The sequence below is a fragment of the Homo sapiens genome, chromosome 1 (assembly GCF_000001405.40).
Source record: "Homo sapiens chromosome 1, GRCh38.p14 Primary Assembly".
In the NCBI taxonomy this organism is placed as follows: domain Eukaryota; kingdom Metazoa; phylum Chordata; class Mammalia; order Primates; family Hominidae; genus Homo; species Homo sapiens.
The window spans coordinates 173,263,970-173,281,516 of record NC_000001.11 but is presented as its reverse complement, the minus strand read 5'-3'; the positions used below and the strand labels follow the sequence as shown (position 1 = coordinate 173,281,516).

The 17,547-nt window shown below is 37.1% G+C and overlaps 1 protein-coding gene, 1 long non-coding RNA gene and 1 pseudogene across 3 annotated transcripts in view; 2 read left to right on the top strand and 1 right to left on the bottom strand.

Annotated features, from left to right (window-relative positions):
• Nucleotides 1–17,547, top strand: part of TNFSF4 (TNF superfamily member 4) — a 277,864-nt gene that overhangs the window by 169,217 nt on the left and 91,100 nt on the right. The window lies entirely within an intron of this gene.
• Nucleotides 1–17,547, top strand: part of LOC100506023 (uncharacterized) — a 242,096-nt gene that overhangs the window by 195,639 nt on the left and 28,910 nt on the right. The gene's annotated exons all lie outside the window — the stretch shown is intronic.
• On the bottom strand, nt 316–440 carry LOC124904846 (uncharacterized; annotated as a pseudogene).

Sequence of the window (17,547 nt, the reverse complement as noted above, 5' to 3'; positions counted from 1 at the left end):
CATTAGTGCTTATTCAATTTCTGATGATGACATATAAATGAAATATGTTGTGCACATACCACTCTGCCTGATTCCCATGTTCTTGCTCTCATCTTGAGGAGAATATATTAAAGCTTAGATTTATGGAACAACTTGCCTAAGGAACTAAAAAGCCAGGTTTCTATACTAAACATCTTTACTAAGTTTGTTAAGCATGGGCTCTTTCCATTCAGAGTGCATATAATATAATCCTCTACATCTGAATTCTTCCATATATTGAAATCACCCTTGGCAAAAATATTCCTTTTTTTTTCTTTTTTTGTTTGTTTTGTTTCACGTCAGATGGGTAATGTGCCAACGAACTTTGTGTGAGACGTGCCTCCCACAAACTGTTCTAACAATGCGCATCTCACGTACTAGTGTGAAAACCCAATTATCACGCTTATGAACCACAACAGGATTGCAAAAAATATTTCCCCATTTTTTTGAGACTCAACACTGATTTTATCTCTTGACTTTAAAGCCTCTTTTCCAGTATTTCAAGTTTTAAGATTATGTAAGAACTAGTAATAGTTAAATCTAGCAACTGAGAAGTACCCTTACAAAATTGGAAAGTAGGTTATTGCCCGGGAGTTTAAATAATAAAATCCATGTACAATGAATGAGATGAGCCATCTCTAAAGTTAGGCTAAGAGATTATTAATAATCTTTAAACTTCTGACTCATGATTTTTGAAATTCCCCAAACACCAGTCAATGAGATCTGGGCATAATCTCAGTGAGACAGAATTAGAACGTGATTTTAACATACTAAGTAGAAATAATCAATTGCATTATATTATTTGCTTTAAAGTAAGGTATTGGAAGCAGACAAGCTTCCATAGTGAAAGCTAAAAATGAGGGCCGGAGAGAAAGCATTCAAATGTTTATTCAGCCTTATCCAAGGAATAAAAACTAACTTGTCGTTGTTAGGTAGTGATTCATTATCAGGACTCACAACAATGATTTGAATGAGGAGGGACCATTAAGACTAATTATTGTGTTTTGTCTTCATGTTCTCCATCTATCCATTCATTCACCCATGCCCCCACCCATTTATTTGACAAATATTTATTGAATCTCTACCATCTGCCAACTACTAGTTAGATTATGAACACATGAAAATGAAGGACACAGACCTTGAACTCAGGGAATTCATAACTTAAAGGAAGAGAAACCAGAAAGACAGATCAACCACGATTGGTGTAATTGGTAAAATGGTACAAACAGGAGTGGTATCCAGCCTCTCTTGAGGGGCTGGAGGGAAGAGTAGGTAAGAACAGAGGAAGAGTAGACATGGGAGACAGTGGTGGTTAGGTTATAGTGATGGACATTATGAAAAGAGTGTACAGGGAGGACATCACTAGTTTAAATTTGGAAGGATGTATGGAAGTTTGGTATGCAGAGAAAGGAAGAAAAGACATCCTAGGCAGGGGCACTGTGTATAAAACAGAGGAAAGACTGAAAAAGTGAGGCATTTTCTGAGAAGACCAAGAAGTTTGAAAAGAGATGAGGCTACAGTTTGGCAGAAGGCAGTTTATAAAAGGCCTCACAGACAATGGAAAACATTTTATAATTATTCTAAAATAATGAAGAATAATTAAATGATGTTGAGTGAGATTATTATGGATTTGTGTTTTGTTTTTACACATTATTGGTATTGCACTAAATGTTGTCAAGGGTGTTACAAAGAAGACTCCGGGAAACCTGAAAAAAGGTAGTAGCACTGGGAAATGAGAGAAGGAATGGGTATGAGAAATACCTAGGTGACAGTATTTATCTAGATTCATGGTTAAGTTTTTGGAGTGTAGGTAAGGAAGGGAAGGCAATTACGATGATTGCCAAGTTTCTGACTTGAATACAAGTTGGCTGGTGCCACGTTTTCTACTACTGTTAGAAAACACAGAGGAGCAGATAATGATGAAGACATGGTGAGTTCAGTTTTGGACCATGATATTTGAGTTTGGCTACTCAAGTGGAGCTTACCAGAGGCAGTTGGATATGTGAAGCTGCAGTTTGGGAGAGAGATCTGGGTTGCATATTTAAATTGGGGTTTTTAACAACATAAAGACAGAATTGAAGCCATGGATAAGAACGAGGACTGAGGACAGAGGCTTGAGTAAATTAACATTTAGGGAGACAAAAAGTAAAGGAAACTTAGAATGTTCAAAGAACTAGAAGAACCAGGTAAGAGTATGGGCTTAAACCATGGAAAGAGAGTTCTGTAAAGAAAAGTGAACAAGAGCATTTAATGTCACAAAAAGATCAAAAGAAAGGTGAGAAATGTAGATGTTCATTTGATTTTGAAATGTAGGGGTGCTCTTAGTCACCATTAAGTCCTTTCTATACAAAATATGAGTTGTGATTATGACCTACAATGTCCTAGGGGAAACTAGCTTGCCAGCTTTTAAAGATCACTTAGTAGTAATTGAGTCAGTGGCCAGGAGAAGTGAGATCTTCCAACAGTAACAATTTATGCCCACTGGACAAGTAGGGCAGCTACTATGTTTCTTGTGGCCTAGTAAAAGTTTTAAATTTTACATGTTTGGATTACAAATATGTTGTTCCTCAAGATATTTTTGTTGACAAGCAATTTGACCCATTTGTGTGCAGCCACTGTGGCTGATCTGACATTCTTATAGGGCTTTGGGTGCTTTTACAGGGAATTCTGCCCTTATCTTCCTTCTTGATTAATTGGCTAAATCATATCATCATATCAATTTATTTCGAGAATGCTTCTGGTAGCTGGAACACGTGTTCTGGAAATCTCCTCCCCTTGCTGTGCCTCCCATTCCTCTAATTAATTTTGAAACATCGTTTGTGTGGAAAGAAGTTTATTCTATGTTTATATAATCACTTATATGCTAGCTGTGCTGAGATCATATTTGATTTGTTAAGATGTAAAGTGCAATTTTTTGAAGACTACTTTCCAGTGAAAGTTTCATTGAGCTCTGCCTCATAGATATATAAAGGCTTTTCATGCTGATGCTGGGAATGGCATAAATGATGGTGGTAGGGTTACTTAATAGAGACAACGACAAATATTAAAGTAGTCCATGCCAGTTGGAACCTGAAATGAATGGGCTTGGGAGAAGAAGAAAAAATATTTCTTGTCTATTTCAAGGAGGCTGGAGATAACCAGAAATGCATCATTTTGAAGGAACAATCAGGAGAGTGTAAGAGATATATAAATTCATTCATTCATTAAAAAATAATTGAACACCTACTCTATACCAAGCATTGTGCAAAGTGCTGGCCATGTAATAGTTACCAAGATAAACAAGATCTCTGGATGCACAAAATGGGAGAATGTAGTATATTTTACATTTCAAGACTTGAAATTGTATTGAATTAAAAGTTGTCAGAAAAGGCTGGGAAAAAAGAAAATAAGACTTGGGATCTCCTATTTAAATGATCTGAGAGCATTTGGATACTGTTCTTCTTAGATGAGCAAATCTTGTTGGTTATTGAATTTAGGCCTGACACAAGAAGGATTTGGACCTACACTAAAGTTTTACACTCCCTGGGATTCTTCGTGGTGTCATTCTTCCCTTAGTGTAATCCTCCCTCCTATACCTGTCATGCTATTTCTGCCAGGAACATTTCTGTAGGAACCTTGACCATATAAACACAATGGTTAAAAACATGAGTTTTGTAATCAGACTGACCAGGACTCTCGTTTGTCATTGATGAGCAATGTATAACCATACTTACTTCAGTGGACTTCTGTGAGACTAAGTGAAATGAATACCCAAAGCTTTTAGCACCCAATGTGCCTGATACATTGTAAGTGTCCATTATTATTAGCATTGCCTGGATTCTAATAGTGACCCAGAGATAGTGCTAATGCAGAACTGATAGCAATAAAAGACAAATCCACCTTTGTACTAGCCACCCTTGTGAGTCACACCTGGTAAAAACTATTATATATTAAGTACTTATTATGTCCCAGCTTTATGCTAAGTAACTTACATATGAGTTGACAGTGTCTATTCCTCCTTGCCACTCTTCTCCTCTCATATTTTTGTTTTTACCGTTGAAGTTCTGAGGACACCCTAGAAATAGGGCATCCCCCCAAAATTGGGGTCAATAGGTTAGAAAGGCTACACAGGTCACAGCAGAACTCTAATCTCTCAGACTCCCAAGTTTAAGACTGCACTTTCCCTCAATGCTGTATTTAGGTCTCTTTCTTTATTTTCCTGGCCAAGTCATCAGAAGCTGGTTGAACAGAACAGATCCTGAATAGTTACCTTCATGACAAATAATAACAGCTACACATTTTCCCATGGTCTTCACCCCAGACAGGTTTCTGTCTCCTCACTATGGAAGGTGGTAGGGTGAATACCATGAAACCACGTGCTGCTTTCTTTTTTACTACTGGCAGAGTTTCACCCTGGTTGAATGGGTTCAAAGAGAAGGTTTCACTCTAACTGCTGGCCTTACAGACACCTGGAACATCTGAAGCATTATTATTATGGCTGACTTGTTCTGAAGAACTCAGGCTTTTCTCATTTTTAGAAAGTGTAATTTTGTGTACTTGTATGAAGGGAAGAGAAATACTGCCCTCGGAAATGAAAATTCTATCACAGCATCACTGTTAGTTAGATATCATATGTACATTGAGCTGCAGATAATAAAGCAGCCATGTTGAGCCCGCTGTGATGGCTGAAGAGCCTGGTTCTTGGGTTGAAGAGGACAGACACAGGCAAGTTCTCCCCATCATCCTACCTGCGATTAGCCCAGTGGCCTGTTCTAATCTCCCTTTCTAAAATTCAGGCAAATGTTAATTTTCTTCTCAATAGTACTTAGTCAAATTTCTTGCAAATTTGAAATGTCAAATAGAAAACTCCCACAAAGTTGAGCTCGTAAATTAATCATGGCCACAGGAGCTAACCAGCAATGCCACTGGGCTAGACTTCAGCTCCTTTCCTGTGGCTCTAAGGCCTCCAACTCAGTGGCTCCTTTCTCTACTCATTCTCTCTGCTGCTGTTTAGGTCAGGCTCATTCACTCCCAGCTTAGTGTGCTTTTCCCTTGGACAAGATGACAGAAAGTTGACCTGCCATCATAGTGTTTGAGTCCTTCCCAATCATGGGAAACTGGGAACAACTGTGTACACTCTGAGACTGTGTGGTAGAGGTGGAGAGGAGAAGGAAGAGGATAGTTAGGAGAAGTCTGAAGCCTATAGCTTAGAGAGTGTCTTCCTCATGAAAAATTGCACTCACTGGGCAGTGGCATTACAGAAACAGGCTTAATTTGGATTAATCTTTCTGTAAATCTGTATTGAGAATTGTTTCATAAAACAATGTCACCGGTCTTCTCTGTTGTTTGTCTCTCTTTTGTGTAGGTTTAACATAATTATCTTTAGTTTTTCATTCTTAGGTATGATGTTGGTTGTCGATATTGATATTCTTTTTCATGTTAAGGAAACATCTATTACACATTTTTAAAGAGTTCATTTAACTAAAGCAATGGTTTTCATTTGATTGAATTTCTTTTTGACGGCAACCAGTTAAGATGCTTTTATTGTTTTTCTTATTTAATGTAATGGCACTCATACCAACCACACTATTGGGAAGTTTTAAAGGGCTAAATATGTTAAGCTACTAGAATAGTGTCATATAGTGTTAGCTGTTATTATGATACATGATGTGGTATGTTATCTTAATAAATTACAGATAACCCATTCTTACATTCCTGGGATTAAACCCCAAAGCCTCTGTCAACCTGGGCTGCTGACTGATGTGTGTCCCATGGTGGGGAAACTCTAAACATTGTCAACAACTTTTTTTCCCCCAGGGGTTCCATGTTTTCCTTTGGGATTATAATTGTGTGAAAGCCGGCATTAACTTCCCTCTCTCCCAGAAAACACTGGTAATAAGAGATCTGCAAGTGCTTACAAATTGAACAGAAGTGGTCTCACCTGCTGTTGGTCAGATTATTTTGAATGGCCAACAGAGTGTTGTAATCACAAAAATGTGGAAATGAGAGGTGGATTTGTTCAGAGGCAATTCACCTTGGTGTTTTTACACATCTTATGACAGCTTTAGTTCCAGACTATCTTTTCCAGGATGTTTGTATAGAGCACAGAGGCTTGGGAGCTAGAGATGGTATCTCTCTCCAGGTCAGACAGTAGATTTGTTTCTTGAAAAAGATAATATAGTTTCTCTCTGTGGAGCAAAGTTTGGGCAGGTTTGCTTGCAGCCACTTAAAAGATGGGAAGTTTCCTAAGCTCAGGGTTCCTCATCTGGGATGGGACATGGATGTGTGTGCAGGATCTGCCCAGGCCTGTTCTGTGTCGTTCCCTTCCCTGATGGGACTTAGGGACAAAGGGACATATAGAGAACACGGAGCTTGTGCTGCATGCTCTGCCATGAGTAAAAATGGTCCAAATCAGTTTGGGCTTGTTGTTTCCTTTCCAACTAAATTTTGAAAGGGCAGCAAGTCAGCTTAGCACCTATGCTGTTGCTTAGAGATTGCTTAAGCCCTTGACAAGAGTTACACAAATGACGCTATAGCAAAATAGTCAAAGCAAAGTACTGCATGTGAACAGGCAATTAACTCAGGGGAAATCTAACTAAAAACATATGGAAAGTTTCTTGATTTTAGTGAGACATGCAAAATAAAGATACTCTTTATTAAACATGTATCAAAAATAAGGTACTCTTTTTTACTTATCAAATTGACTGAATTTAAAAACATATTTAACATTTGGTGCTGGTGAGAAAATGAATATAGTTACCTCATACAATGCTTTCAAGAGAGTGAATTCTTACTGTATTAATTTTCTATTGCTGTGTAACATTTGAATCTCTGAATTCTTTTTCTGGGATCAGCTGGAGAAAACGCTCTGCTTTTAAAGGGCTCATGTGGTTAGGTAAGATCCACCTGGATAATGTCCCTATAGTAAGGTAATAGAATCAGGGAATCTATCACATCCACAGTTTTGGGGATTGTGCAGGGTGTGTACACAGTGGGAAGAGGGGGACATCTTAGAATTCTGCTTACCGTGGTTACTACAATCTTGGAAAGTAATCTGGCAATATCTTTTGCAATTATACATCCATATACATTTTGATTCTGCAACCCAGCTTTTAGAACTCCATTTTTATAGAAGTACAGCAACATATAAGAATAAAAGTTCAAAAATGTTGTCTGCATTGTTTGTAAAGACCTCAAAAGGAGAATGCTTGAATAAATTATGAAATATCAAGGGCATTCTTATTGTAAATAACTTCGATCTTTATTGATTTGTACACTGACAAATGCAAGTTGTTGAGCAATATGTGTTTAACAATATGATTCTATTTTGAAAAGAAAAATACAGAAACTATATGTATATACAGAGTGTGTGTGTGTGTGTGTGTGTGTGTGTGTATGAACATGGAGAAGCAGGGACACCAACCTGTTAATTAGATTGCCTCATGGGCTAGAAATGGAAAGAGTTAGATGGGGTGGTGAATGGGGAGACTACTAGGAACTTTATCTTGACACATCTCTGCACTATTTCACTTGCTATAAGTAATATCTCACTTTTGTAATTAGAAATAATAAATATTATAGAAAGCTAAACAAAATGCATATCTCTTATAGAAAGTTTGCAAAATACAGTCAAGCCTAATGAAGCAAATACAATTATCCATAATCCAAACATCCAGCCACACTTCCTTTTAATAGTTTGCTATATTCTATGCACATACATCCAAAAATTCAAAATGCTAATATTACTTTGAATCTTGATCTTTTTCATGTGAATATATTACAGATGAAAGTCTATCTTCATCCTAGGATTATGTACATAGTTATGAATATTTTCTTCCATGGCTATTATGGTCTAATTTTAAATATTTAAATGTGTAATTCCTCTGAAATTTATTTTGGTGTACGGTGCTTAATGACGATCTAATCATCTACATTTTTTTCCCAACTGGTTAACTATTATCTCAATAACACTTATCAAATAGCCATCCTCATTGATTAGAAATGCCACTTGTATTATACTAAATTCTTATAAAAAGGGTCTTTGAAAAGTTCATAGAAAATGTAGAATATAAAGAAAACTATTTCAAAAATTTTTTGCACCACAATAAACTTATAATAACTTGTGATAAAATATCTGAACAAGATCTAGCTTGAGGCACTAGGAAGAATAAGACATCAGTTTGAAGAAAGTCCGTATCAGGAGCAACACGAATTCTGCTAAAATTGAAGCAAGAACAAACATCAAATTTATGGTGAAGCTTGATTGGAAGAATGGTGAAACCATCAATCCTTTGTGATAAATTTATAGAGACAATGCCCCAAAGAAATCAGTAGTTTACAAATGGATAACTTATTTTAAGAAAGGACAAGATGATATTGAATATGAAGCCCACCGTGGCAGACCATCCACATCAATTTGCAAGGAAAAAATTCATTTTGTTTGTGCCCTAATTGAGGAAGACTGATGATTCACAGAAGAAATAATAGCCTCACATATGTCTTAACTGATTCCGCTTACACAGTTCTGACTGAAAATTAAAGCTGAGCAACTTCTCACTCAATGGGTTCCAAAATAATTGTTCCCAAATCAGCTGCAGAAAAGAGCAGAGCTTTCAATGGGAATTTTAAATGAATGAGATCAAGACCTTGAGACATTTCTTTGAAGCACTGTAATAGGAGATGAAACACAGTTTTACCAGTGGGACCCTGAAGACAAAGCCCGATCAAAGCAATGGCTTTCGAGAAGTGGAAGTGGTCCAGTTTGCAGACAGGGCAAGAGCAAAGGTCGTGGCAACATTTTTGGGGAACACTCAGGGTATTTTGCTTGTTGACTTTCTGGAAGGCCAAAGAACAATAACATCTGCTTATTACAAGAATGTTTTGAGAAAGTAGCCAAAACTTGAACAGAAAAACAAACAGGAAAGCTTCACTAGAGAGTCCTTTTTCACCATGACAATGTTCCTGTTCCTTCCTCTCATCAAACAAGGACAATTTCATGAATTTCGATGGGAAACGATTAGGTATCCATCTTGCAGTCCTGATTTGGCTCCTTCTGACTTCTTTTTGTTTCCTAATCTTAAAAAAAATCTCTAATGGGCATGCAATTTTTTCCAGCTAATAATGTAAAAAAAGACTACATTGACATGGTTAAATTCTCAGAATCTGTTTTTTTTATTATTATACTTTAAGTTCTAGGGTACATGTGCACAGCATGCAGATTTGTTACATACATATACATGTGCCATGTTGGTGTGCTGCACCCATTAACTTGTCATTTACATTAGGTATTTCTCCTAATGCTCTCTGCACCCCCCACCACCCCACGACAGGCCCCAGTGTGTGATGTTCCCCACCCTGTGTCCAAGTGTTCTCATTGTTCAATTCCCACCTATGAGTGAGAATATTTGGTGTTTGGTTTTCTGTCCTTGTGATAGTTTGCTCAGAATGATGGTTTCCAGCTTCATCTGTGCTCCTACAAAGGACATGAACTCATACATTTTATGGATGCATGGTATTCCATGGTGTGTATGTGCCACATTTTCTTAATCCAGTCCACCATTGATGGACATTTGGGTAGGTTCCAAGTCTTTGCTATTGCGAATAGTGCCGCAATAAACATATGTGTGCATGTGTCTTTATAGTAGCATGATTTATAATCCTTTGGGTATATACCCAGTAATGGGATGGCTGGGTCAACTGGTATTTCTAGTTCTAGATCCTTGAGGAATCGCCACACTGTCTTCCACAATGGTTGAACTAGTTTACACTCCCACCAACAGTGTAAGAGCATTCCTAATTCTCCACATCCTCTCCAGCACCTGTTGTTTCCTGTCTTTTTAATGATCGCCATTCTAACTGGTGTGAGATGGTATCTCATTGTGGTTTTGATTTGCATTTCTCTGATGGCCAGTGATGATGAGCATTTTTTCATGTGTCTGTTGGCTGCATAAATGTCTTCGTTTGAGAAGTGTCTGTTTATATCCTTTGCCTACTTTTTGATGGGGTTGTTTGATTTTTTCTTGTAAATTTGTTTAAGTTCTTTGTAGATTCTGGATATTAGCCCTTTGTCAGCTGATCTTTGACAAACCTGACAAAAACAAGAAATGGGGAAAGGATCCCCTATTTAATAAATGGTACTGGGAAAACTGCCTAGCCATATGTAGAAAGCTGAAACGGGATCCCTTCATTTCACCTTGTACAAAAATTCTTTCAAGATGGATTAAAGACTTAAATGTTAGACCTAAAACCATAAAAACCCTAGAAGAAAACCTAGGCAATACCATTCAGGACATAGGCATGGGCAAGAATGACTTCATGACTAAAACACCAAAAGCAATGGCAACAAAAGCCAAAATAAACAAATGGGATCTAATTAAACTAAAGAGCTTCTGCACAGCAAAAGAAACTAGCATCAGAGTGAACAGGCAACCTACAGAATGGTAGAAAATTTTTAGAATCTCAGTTCTTTAAGGATGGACTAAATAGTTGGTATCATCACTTACAAAAGTGGCTTAAACTCGATGCAGCTTACGTTGAGAAATAAAGTTTATATTTTATATTTTTATTCCATTTTCTCATGAACTTTCAAAAGTACTCTCATATATATTTCCAAAGATTCAGTTCTACTCCATTGGTATGTATTTCTGAAAATTTGGTTCTACTGCATTGGTCAGATTATGACTCTAGTGCCACCTCATTAAAAAATGTACTATAGCTTTATAATATGCATTCACATCTGGTTGGGAAATCTCCCTGCTACTGTTGTATTTCTAATAGTTTTTGCTTTTTGCTTCCTTTTCTTTAGGCTTAGCTCCCTTGTTGCTTGTTTGCTTTAACCACAAGTCTATATAATTCTGCTCCTTCACAGCCCAACATAATTGGGAAAAAATGTACCACCATGCTGAGTGTCTGACTTTAAATTTATGATTACTCATCTTAAGTATTATGCTCCCCAATAATAGTCCATATTTCCCTATACTATTTACTCTCTCACTCTTCTAGATGATCATTTTGTACCATCTCTTTTCTCTTCAAATCTTTCGTTCCCAATCCTCACCCTCAGTTGTAACCCCTGCTTCCTCCTCAACCTTCTGCTTACTAAGCATTTGAGAGCCCCAGGGTCCTCTTCACTTTTCTATGTACAGTCATTGCCTAGGTGAGCTAATCCAAGCTCATGACTTTAAGTGGCACCTTTACACTAGCAATTCCCAAACTTACAGTCCCAGCCTCGACCTCTCCCTTTAACATCAGTGTCTAGCTGCTACTCATCTTTACTTTGAAGTATAACAGATATGTGAAACTTATAAGTTCCAAATTGAACTTCTAAATGTTTTCCCCCAAATCTGCTCCTCTCATGGTCTTCCCCATTTTAGTATAGGGCAACTCTATTTTTCCAGTGCCTCAAGTCAAAAGACAATTGAGATTGTTCTTGACTTTGCTCTTTCTTGCTTACCACACACCTGCTCTGTTAGCAAATTCTATCACATCTGCTTTCAGAGTATTCTCACAGTCTGACCCCTTCTTAGCATTCCTGCAACCTTCCAGGCTGGAGGCATCATTATCCTTATTGCAATAGCCTCTTGGCTGGTTTCCCTGCTTCTTCCCATCACAGCCCTTCCAATGTGCTCTCAGCAAGTGGCTGCAGTGATAATGTTAAAACATGAATCAAATCATGTCATCTCTTTACTGAACCCCAAAACAGTTGTCCTCTTTTATCTAAACTTTCTGTAGTTTCAGTTACCAGTGGTCAACCATGGCCTGAAAATATTAAATGAAAAATTGCACAAATAAACAATTCATAAGTTTTAAATTTCCACTGCTCTGAGTAGCATGATGAAATATTTCACCATCCCACCCAGGACATTAATCATCCCTTTGTCCAGTGTGTCTATGCTGTCCATGCTACCCGCCTGTTAGTCACTTCATAGCCATCCGGCTTATCAGATCAACTATTGTGGTATTGCAGGGCTTGTATTCAAGGAATCCTTATTTTACTTAATAATGGCCCCAAAGCATGCAAAAATAGTGATGCTGGAAATCTAATTATGCAAATGGAAGCTGTAAAGTGCTTCTTTTAAGTGAAAACGTGGAAGTTCTCAGCTTAATAAGGAAAGAAAAAAATTGTATGTTGAGGTTGCTAACACCTATGGTAAGAAAGAATCTCTTATCTGTGAAACTGTGAAGAAGTAAAAAGAATTTCATGCATTGTATACATAGGGTTTATCTATATAAACTATCTGTGGTTTCAGGTATCCACTAGGGGTCTTGAAAAGTATCTTCCTTGGAAGATTGCATTCTGCCATTCTTATTTCATCTACCCCTCTATCTACTCCCTAGACCCTCTTGATTATTACTTTCAATAGAGCTTTTAGAAATTACATTTTGCATTATAAATTATAAATACATGTAAATATTAATTCATTCCACCTTAGTAAGTCACGTGCACATAATGTCTTTTGATAAAAATAGACTATAATGAGGAGAGTAAACGTTGTACTCTATCTGAACTGCATCATTGAGGACATGAAAAATGACTTCGTCACATTTTTTGAGGTTATGTATTTACAACTGTGGTCTTTATCAGCACCACTTAAGATTTCAAATATGGTAGGTGCATAATATCATTTTGCTATATTCCTTTTTGTCCCTAATAATGTCATTATGTCTGGGTCTACTTTATCTGATAGTAGTATAGTCATTTCTGCTTTTATTGATTATGCATGATATATCTTTCCCCATCCTTTTACTTTCATCCAACCTATGTCATGTTTGAAGTGAGTTTCATGTAGACAGTATATAGCTGGATTGAGTTTTAAAAATCTACTTTGCCAATCTCTTTCAGTTTGTGTAAGTCTGACATTTTATTATTTGTTTTCTGTCCATTCCCTCTGTTTCTTGTTTTTCTTCATTTCTTGGCTTCCTTTGGGTAACTTACACATTTTTTAAGAGTTTCATTTGTATTTATTTATAACATCTTTGATTATATCACTTTGTGTAGTTTTCTTAGTGGTTGCTCTAGGTATTTCTGTGTATATACATAACTTACCTTAGCCTACGGGTGTTGCTGTTTTACCACTGTTAGTGGTAACCTAAGTTTAGAAACCCTATTTCCATTTCAGGTCTCTTTAGCTTCTTCTGCTTCTAGATATAATTGTCTTAAATATTTCCTTTACATATATTGAGCATCACATCAGATGGTATTAGAAGTTTTACATCAACTATGAAATATGATTAATGAACCTCATGAAGTGAAAGATGGTCTATTATATTTGCTGCTGTTTTTTCTCCTTCAGTTGCCCTTCTTTTCTGTCTGAAGGCCCCAGCCTTCTCCTGTTACCATTTTTGCTCTGTTTGGAGAGTTTGTAAGCTCTTTAAGTGTAGGTCTACTAGAAACAAATTCTCTTGATTTCCCTTAATCTGAGGATGTCTTTGTTTCTCCTTTGTCCTTGAAAGATAGCTTTGTCAGGTGCAGGATTCAGAGTTAACAGTGTTTTCTCTAAGTACTTGAGAAATCGTTCACCAAATTTTTTTGTGACCTCTATGGTTTCATATGAGAAATCTGCTGTCATTTGCTTTGGTGTTCCTTTACAGGAATACTTCCTCTCCTTCTCTTTCCTCTCCTCTCCTCTGCTCTCCTCTCCTCTCCTCTCATCTCCTCACTTCTCCTCTCCTCTGCTCTCCTTTCCTTTCCTCTCCTCTCCTTTCTTGTTTCCCTCCATCCACCTCCTCTCCGGAAATTAGTTTCTATTGTACTGGCAATCTGATGAAGGACTGACTAGTGAGTAATCCTGGAAGCAAATCCTCCAGCCTTAATCAAACCTTCAAATGACTGTAGCCCTGGCTGACAGCTTAACTGTAATCTCCCAGGAGACTTTGAGCCAGAACCACCTAGATCATTCATGACCCACAGAAACCACGAACTAATAAATTCTTGTTTTAAACCACTGAGTTTTGTAGTAATTTATTATGCAGGGTAAGATGACTAATGCAAAAATCCCATTAATTAGATCAATGTCCCACAATGGGTAATTACTATCACACATACAATAGAGCAGATATTTCATTTTTATGATTGGATAGACCTACTGGTATGCAAATTGGGAATCAGCATTTATAATATGTGCTGCATATATTTGAGGGAAAAGTGCACAATGGCCTTTTGTTTTGTTCATCACTGAAATCCCACATTATAGGAGAAAATATGTTTTGTTTAGTTGCTGATGATCTCATGAACTTCAATATAGCCTGGCAAAGGTATGTTGGGGCTCATAATTCCAGGATACTCACTATGTTTGCAGAAAGAATGGGTGTTACTCTGCTAAAGGAGGTTAAGCCCAAGCTCTATTTCACCTTATTTTTTAAAGGAGAATAGTTGATTAATAATACATCTTTCGATCTTAATTTATGATTAAAGGAAATAGTGAGACTTGTGGATACAATCAGGTAACAGTCACTGGCTATGCATCTTTTCAGTGCTGTGTAAGTTAATGGAAAGCATATGAGTATAAGACTGTCTTTTCCACATTGAGAACACTAGATGTCAAGAGGAAAGTTGCTCCTACGAGTTTTAAAAATAACAGCTGGGTTAAAAAGATTTCTTCATGACACCGTGATACTGAGAATGATGATAATAACCATTCAAACAATTTCATATAGTTAGAACTTCCAGTAAGTAGTTCCTGGATCCCCCAAATTTGAGTAAACACTTACCTGACACATGGAAGACATTAAATGACAGTTATCATTTTATTATTTTTTGGATATGTATTATTTTTTGAGTGCTCCCTAAACGTTTGACACTGTAATAAACACGAGGAATATAAAAATAAATGTGACCATCAAGGAGTCTAGAAAAGGGAGAAAGGCACATACACTAATCATGTGAATGCCAGACAGACATTGCTATGCTGGAGGAATTCACAGAGAACATGAAGAAAGGCATCTAGCTCAATTTGGATGGGTGGCTAGAAAGGCTTCCTGTAGGAACAATATTTGAGAAGAATCTTAAGGGAATAGTGACAATAGAGTACGTAATTTGTTGGGGGCTGATTCATGACACATTTCTATATATTTTAGAAGCCAGAAAAGCAGGTGTTCATCCTATTTTGAGGTGCTCAACCAGGACTCTCACTTGGTGGGAGGCTATCCCATTTCTCTACAGAGTTGGGCTGTATTTTCGTGGTGTAGTATATATATATATGCATACCCTTCTTGCAGTAATTTGCCTTGTTTTCTCAAACTGTATGTTTGCAAAAGCTGTTTCTACTCTCTTTGATATTCTTTACTCATCATCCATTGAACTCATTCACACCCAGCCTTCAAATACATACTCATCCTTCACATTCTTTCTTTAGAAGTATTTCCCACTACCCTAGGTTGAATTGGTTATTATCTCTCCATCCTTCTTACTCTTGCACACTCTTTACATTCATTAATGATTATCTTTGTGCATGTGATCCGGGATAGTTTTAACTTTTGGAAGACAGGACATATGTCCTATTGTGATGGTTTCATTATTATTCTAGTCAGGTTAAGCACTTATATATCACTCCATAAGCATTAAGGAGTTAAAGTTTAGAGGAAAAGAGTTTTATGATTAGATTTGCCATCTAGAAATATGACTTTTGCAATAGGGAGGATACAATATCGGAGGAAGCATTAGAGACAGAAAGGCTAGTTAGAAGGCTATTACCACTAACGCAAATTAAAATAATGAATGGGAATAAACAAAACAAACTAGAAAATTTAGTGGGAAAGAATATCATTCCCAGTCGAATTGAAATGAATAGAGATGCAGAAGGGAGTCATGTGGTTGGATTTCAGCTGTCCTTTGAAGAGTGGAAAGGATTTGCATAGACAGAGTGTGTGGGTGAAATCATTCAGGTAGGAAGAAGAAAATATGGGCATATATGGAAATGATTGCTGAAGGGACCAAAAAAGTAACTTTTCTCTAAAAGTTACTGTTCACTTATACAGTCATTGACATAATGTGGGTTTATGCAGGCTCTCCATTTGCTGTTTTATATATGATCATAAAATAGCCCATCAGAAATTAATCTGGCTAATTTCTATTGAGTCTACAGATCGCAGCTAACTTTCCTTCCCGCTGGACCAGCAGTGTATAAGCTGAGTATGCATACCCCAGAGGATAAGTAGAGCCTTTCCTAGGGGTAGTCACAAGTAGTGTCAAGGAAACACGTTTCCAGACCCTCAACTTCCAAACATATTATTTCTTAAAATTAACTCATGATATTCCACTGCCCGGCTATAGGAATATTCTGGACTCCTTTCTCAGTCCACTTTCATAATTGGTCTCTTTGTCCTTTATAAAATAAATTCACATCTCTCACTCATCTTGAATCTTACTATGCTACATTGGGGAGTAAAAACTTCTGCGGGGTCTAAAAGAAGGGACCATTTGAAATATTGGTATTAGAGAAGTCTCCTCTGGTCAAGCCTTCTTAAGGTTTTTTGTTTGTTTTATTTTCTTTGCTTTACACATATTTCCATCAAAAGCAAAGCATGCCATAGAAATGAGGTATTTTGCCTTGTGTTGTGATGGTCTGAATTCAAATTTACTGTAGAGTGGGCAGTGGAATAATGATAATTTTCATTCAATAACCTTGTCCTTCTTCCCTTCTCCAACTAATGTCACTGAATGTAGTGTCCCTGAGGGAGAGTCACTTAAGAACAGTAGAATTTTAGAAAGAAACAGGGAGGGAAGTTGGCCTTACTGCATTCAGCAACAAAATTATAGTAAGTTTCAGTACCCGCTCTCTGTCTTTCTCTTTCTCAGAATTATAATTCAGAAGAAGCTGGTTGTTACAGGAATGCATATTAACATTTTGTTAAAATTGAATAATGTCAGAAAGTTTGTTTGCTTTGCCTGATTGGTTTGGCAATGAAGATTTGCTTTGTTCATTACATTATGTGGCAGACCATTTGCACAAGTAGCCTCTACTAAGTCTGCAGTTTCAAGATTTGGAAGAAAATATACTTGAATGTAAGATTTAGTTAAATATTTCTATATGATGAAATGTTTATATTTTTAAATATAAGAACTCAAGGCCAGGCATGGCGGCTTACACCTGTAATCCCAACACTTTGGGAGGCCAGGAGAATCACTTGGGCCCAGGAGTTTGAGTCCAGCCTGAGCAACATAGAGAGACCACTGTCTCTACAAAAAAAAAAAAAAAAAAAAAAGAAGAAGCCAGATGTGGTGGCATGCACCTGTGGTCCCAGCTACTTGGGAGGCTGAGGTGGGAGGATCTCTGGGGCTCAGGAGGTCAAGAGTGCATTGAGCAGTGATCACTCATGCCATTGTACTTCAGCCTGGGTGACAGAATAATACCCTGTCTCAAAAAAATTCAAAATATTTTTTAAAAATTTTATTTTAAGTTCAGGGGTACATGTGCAGGTTTATTATATAGGTAAATTTGTATCATTGGGGTTTGTTATACAGATTATTTTGTCACCAGGTACTAAGCCTAGTATCCAATAGTTATTTTTTCTGCTCCTCTCCCTCCTCCCACCTTCCACCCTCAAATAGGC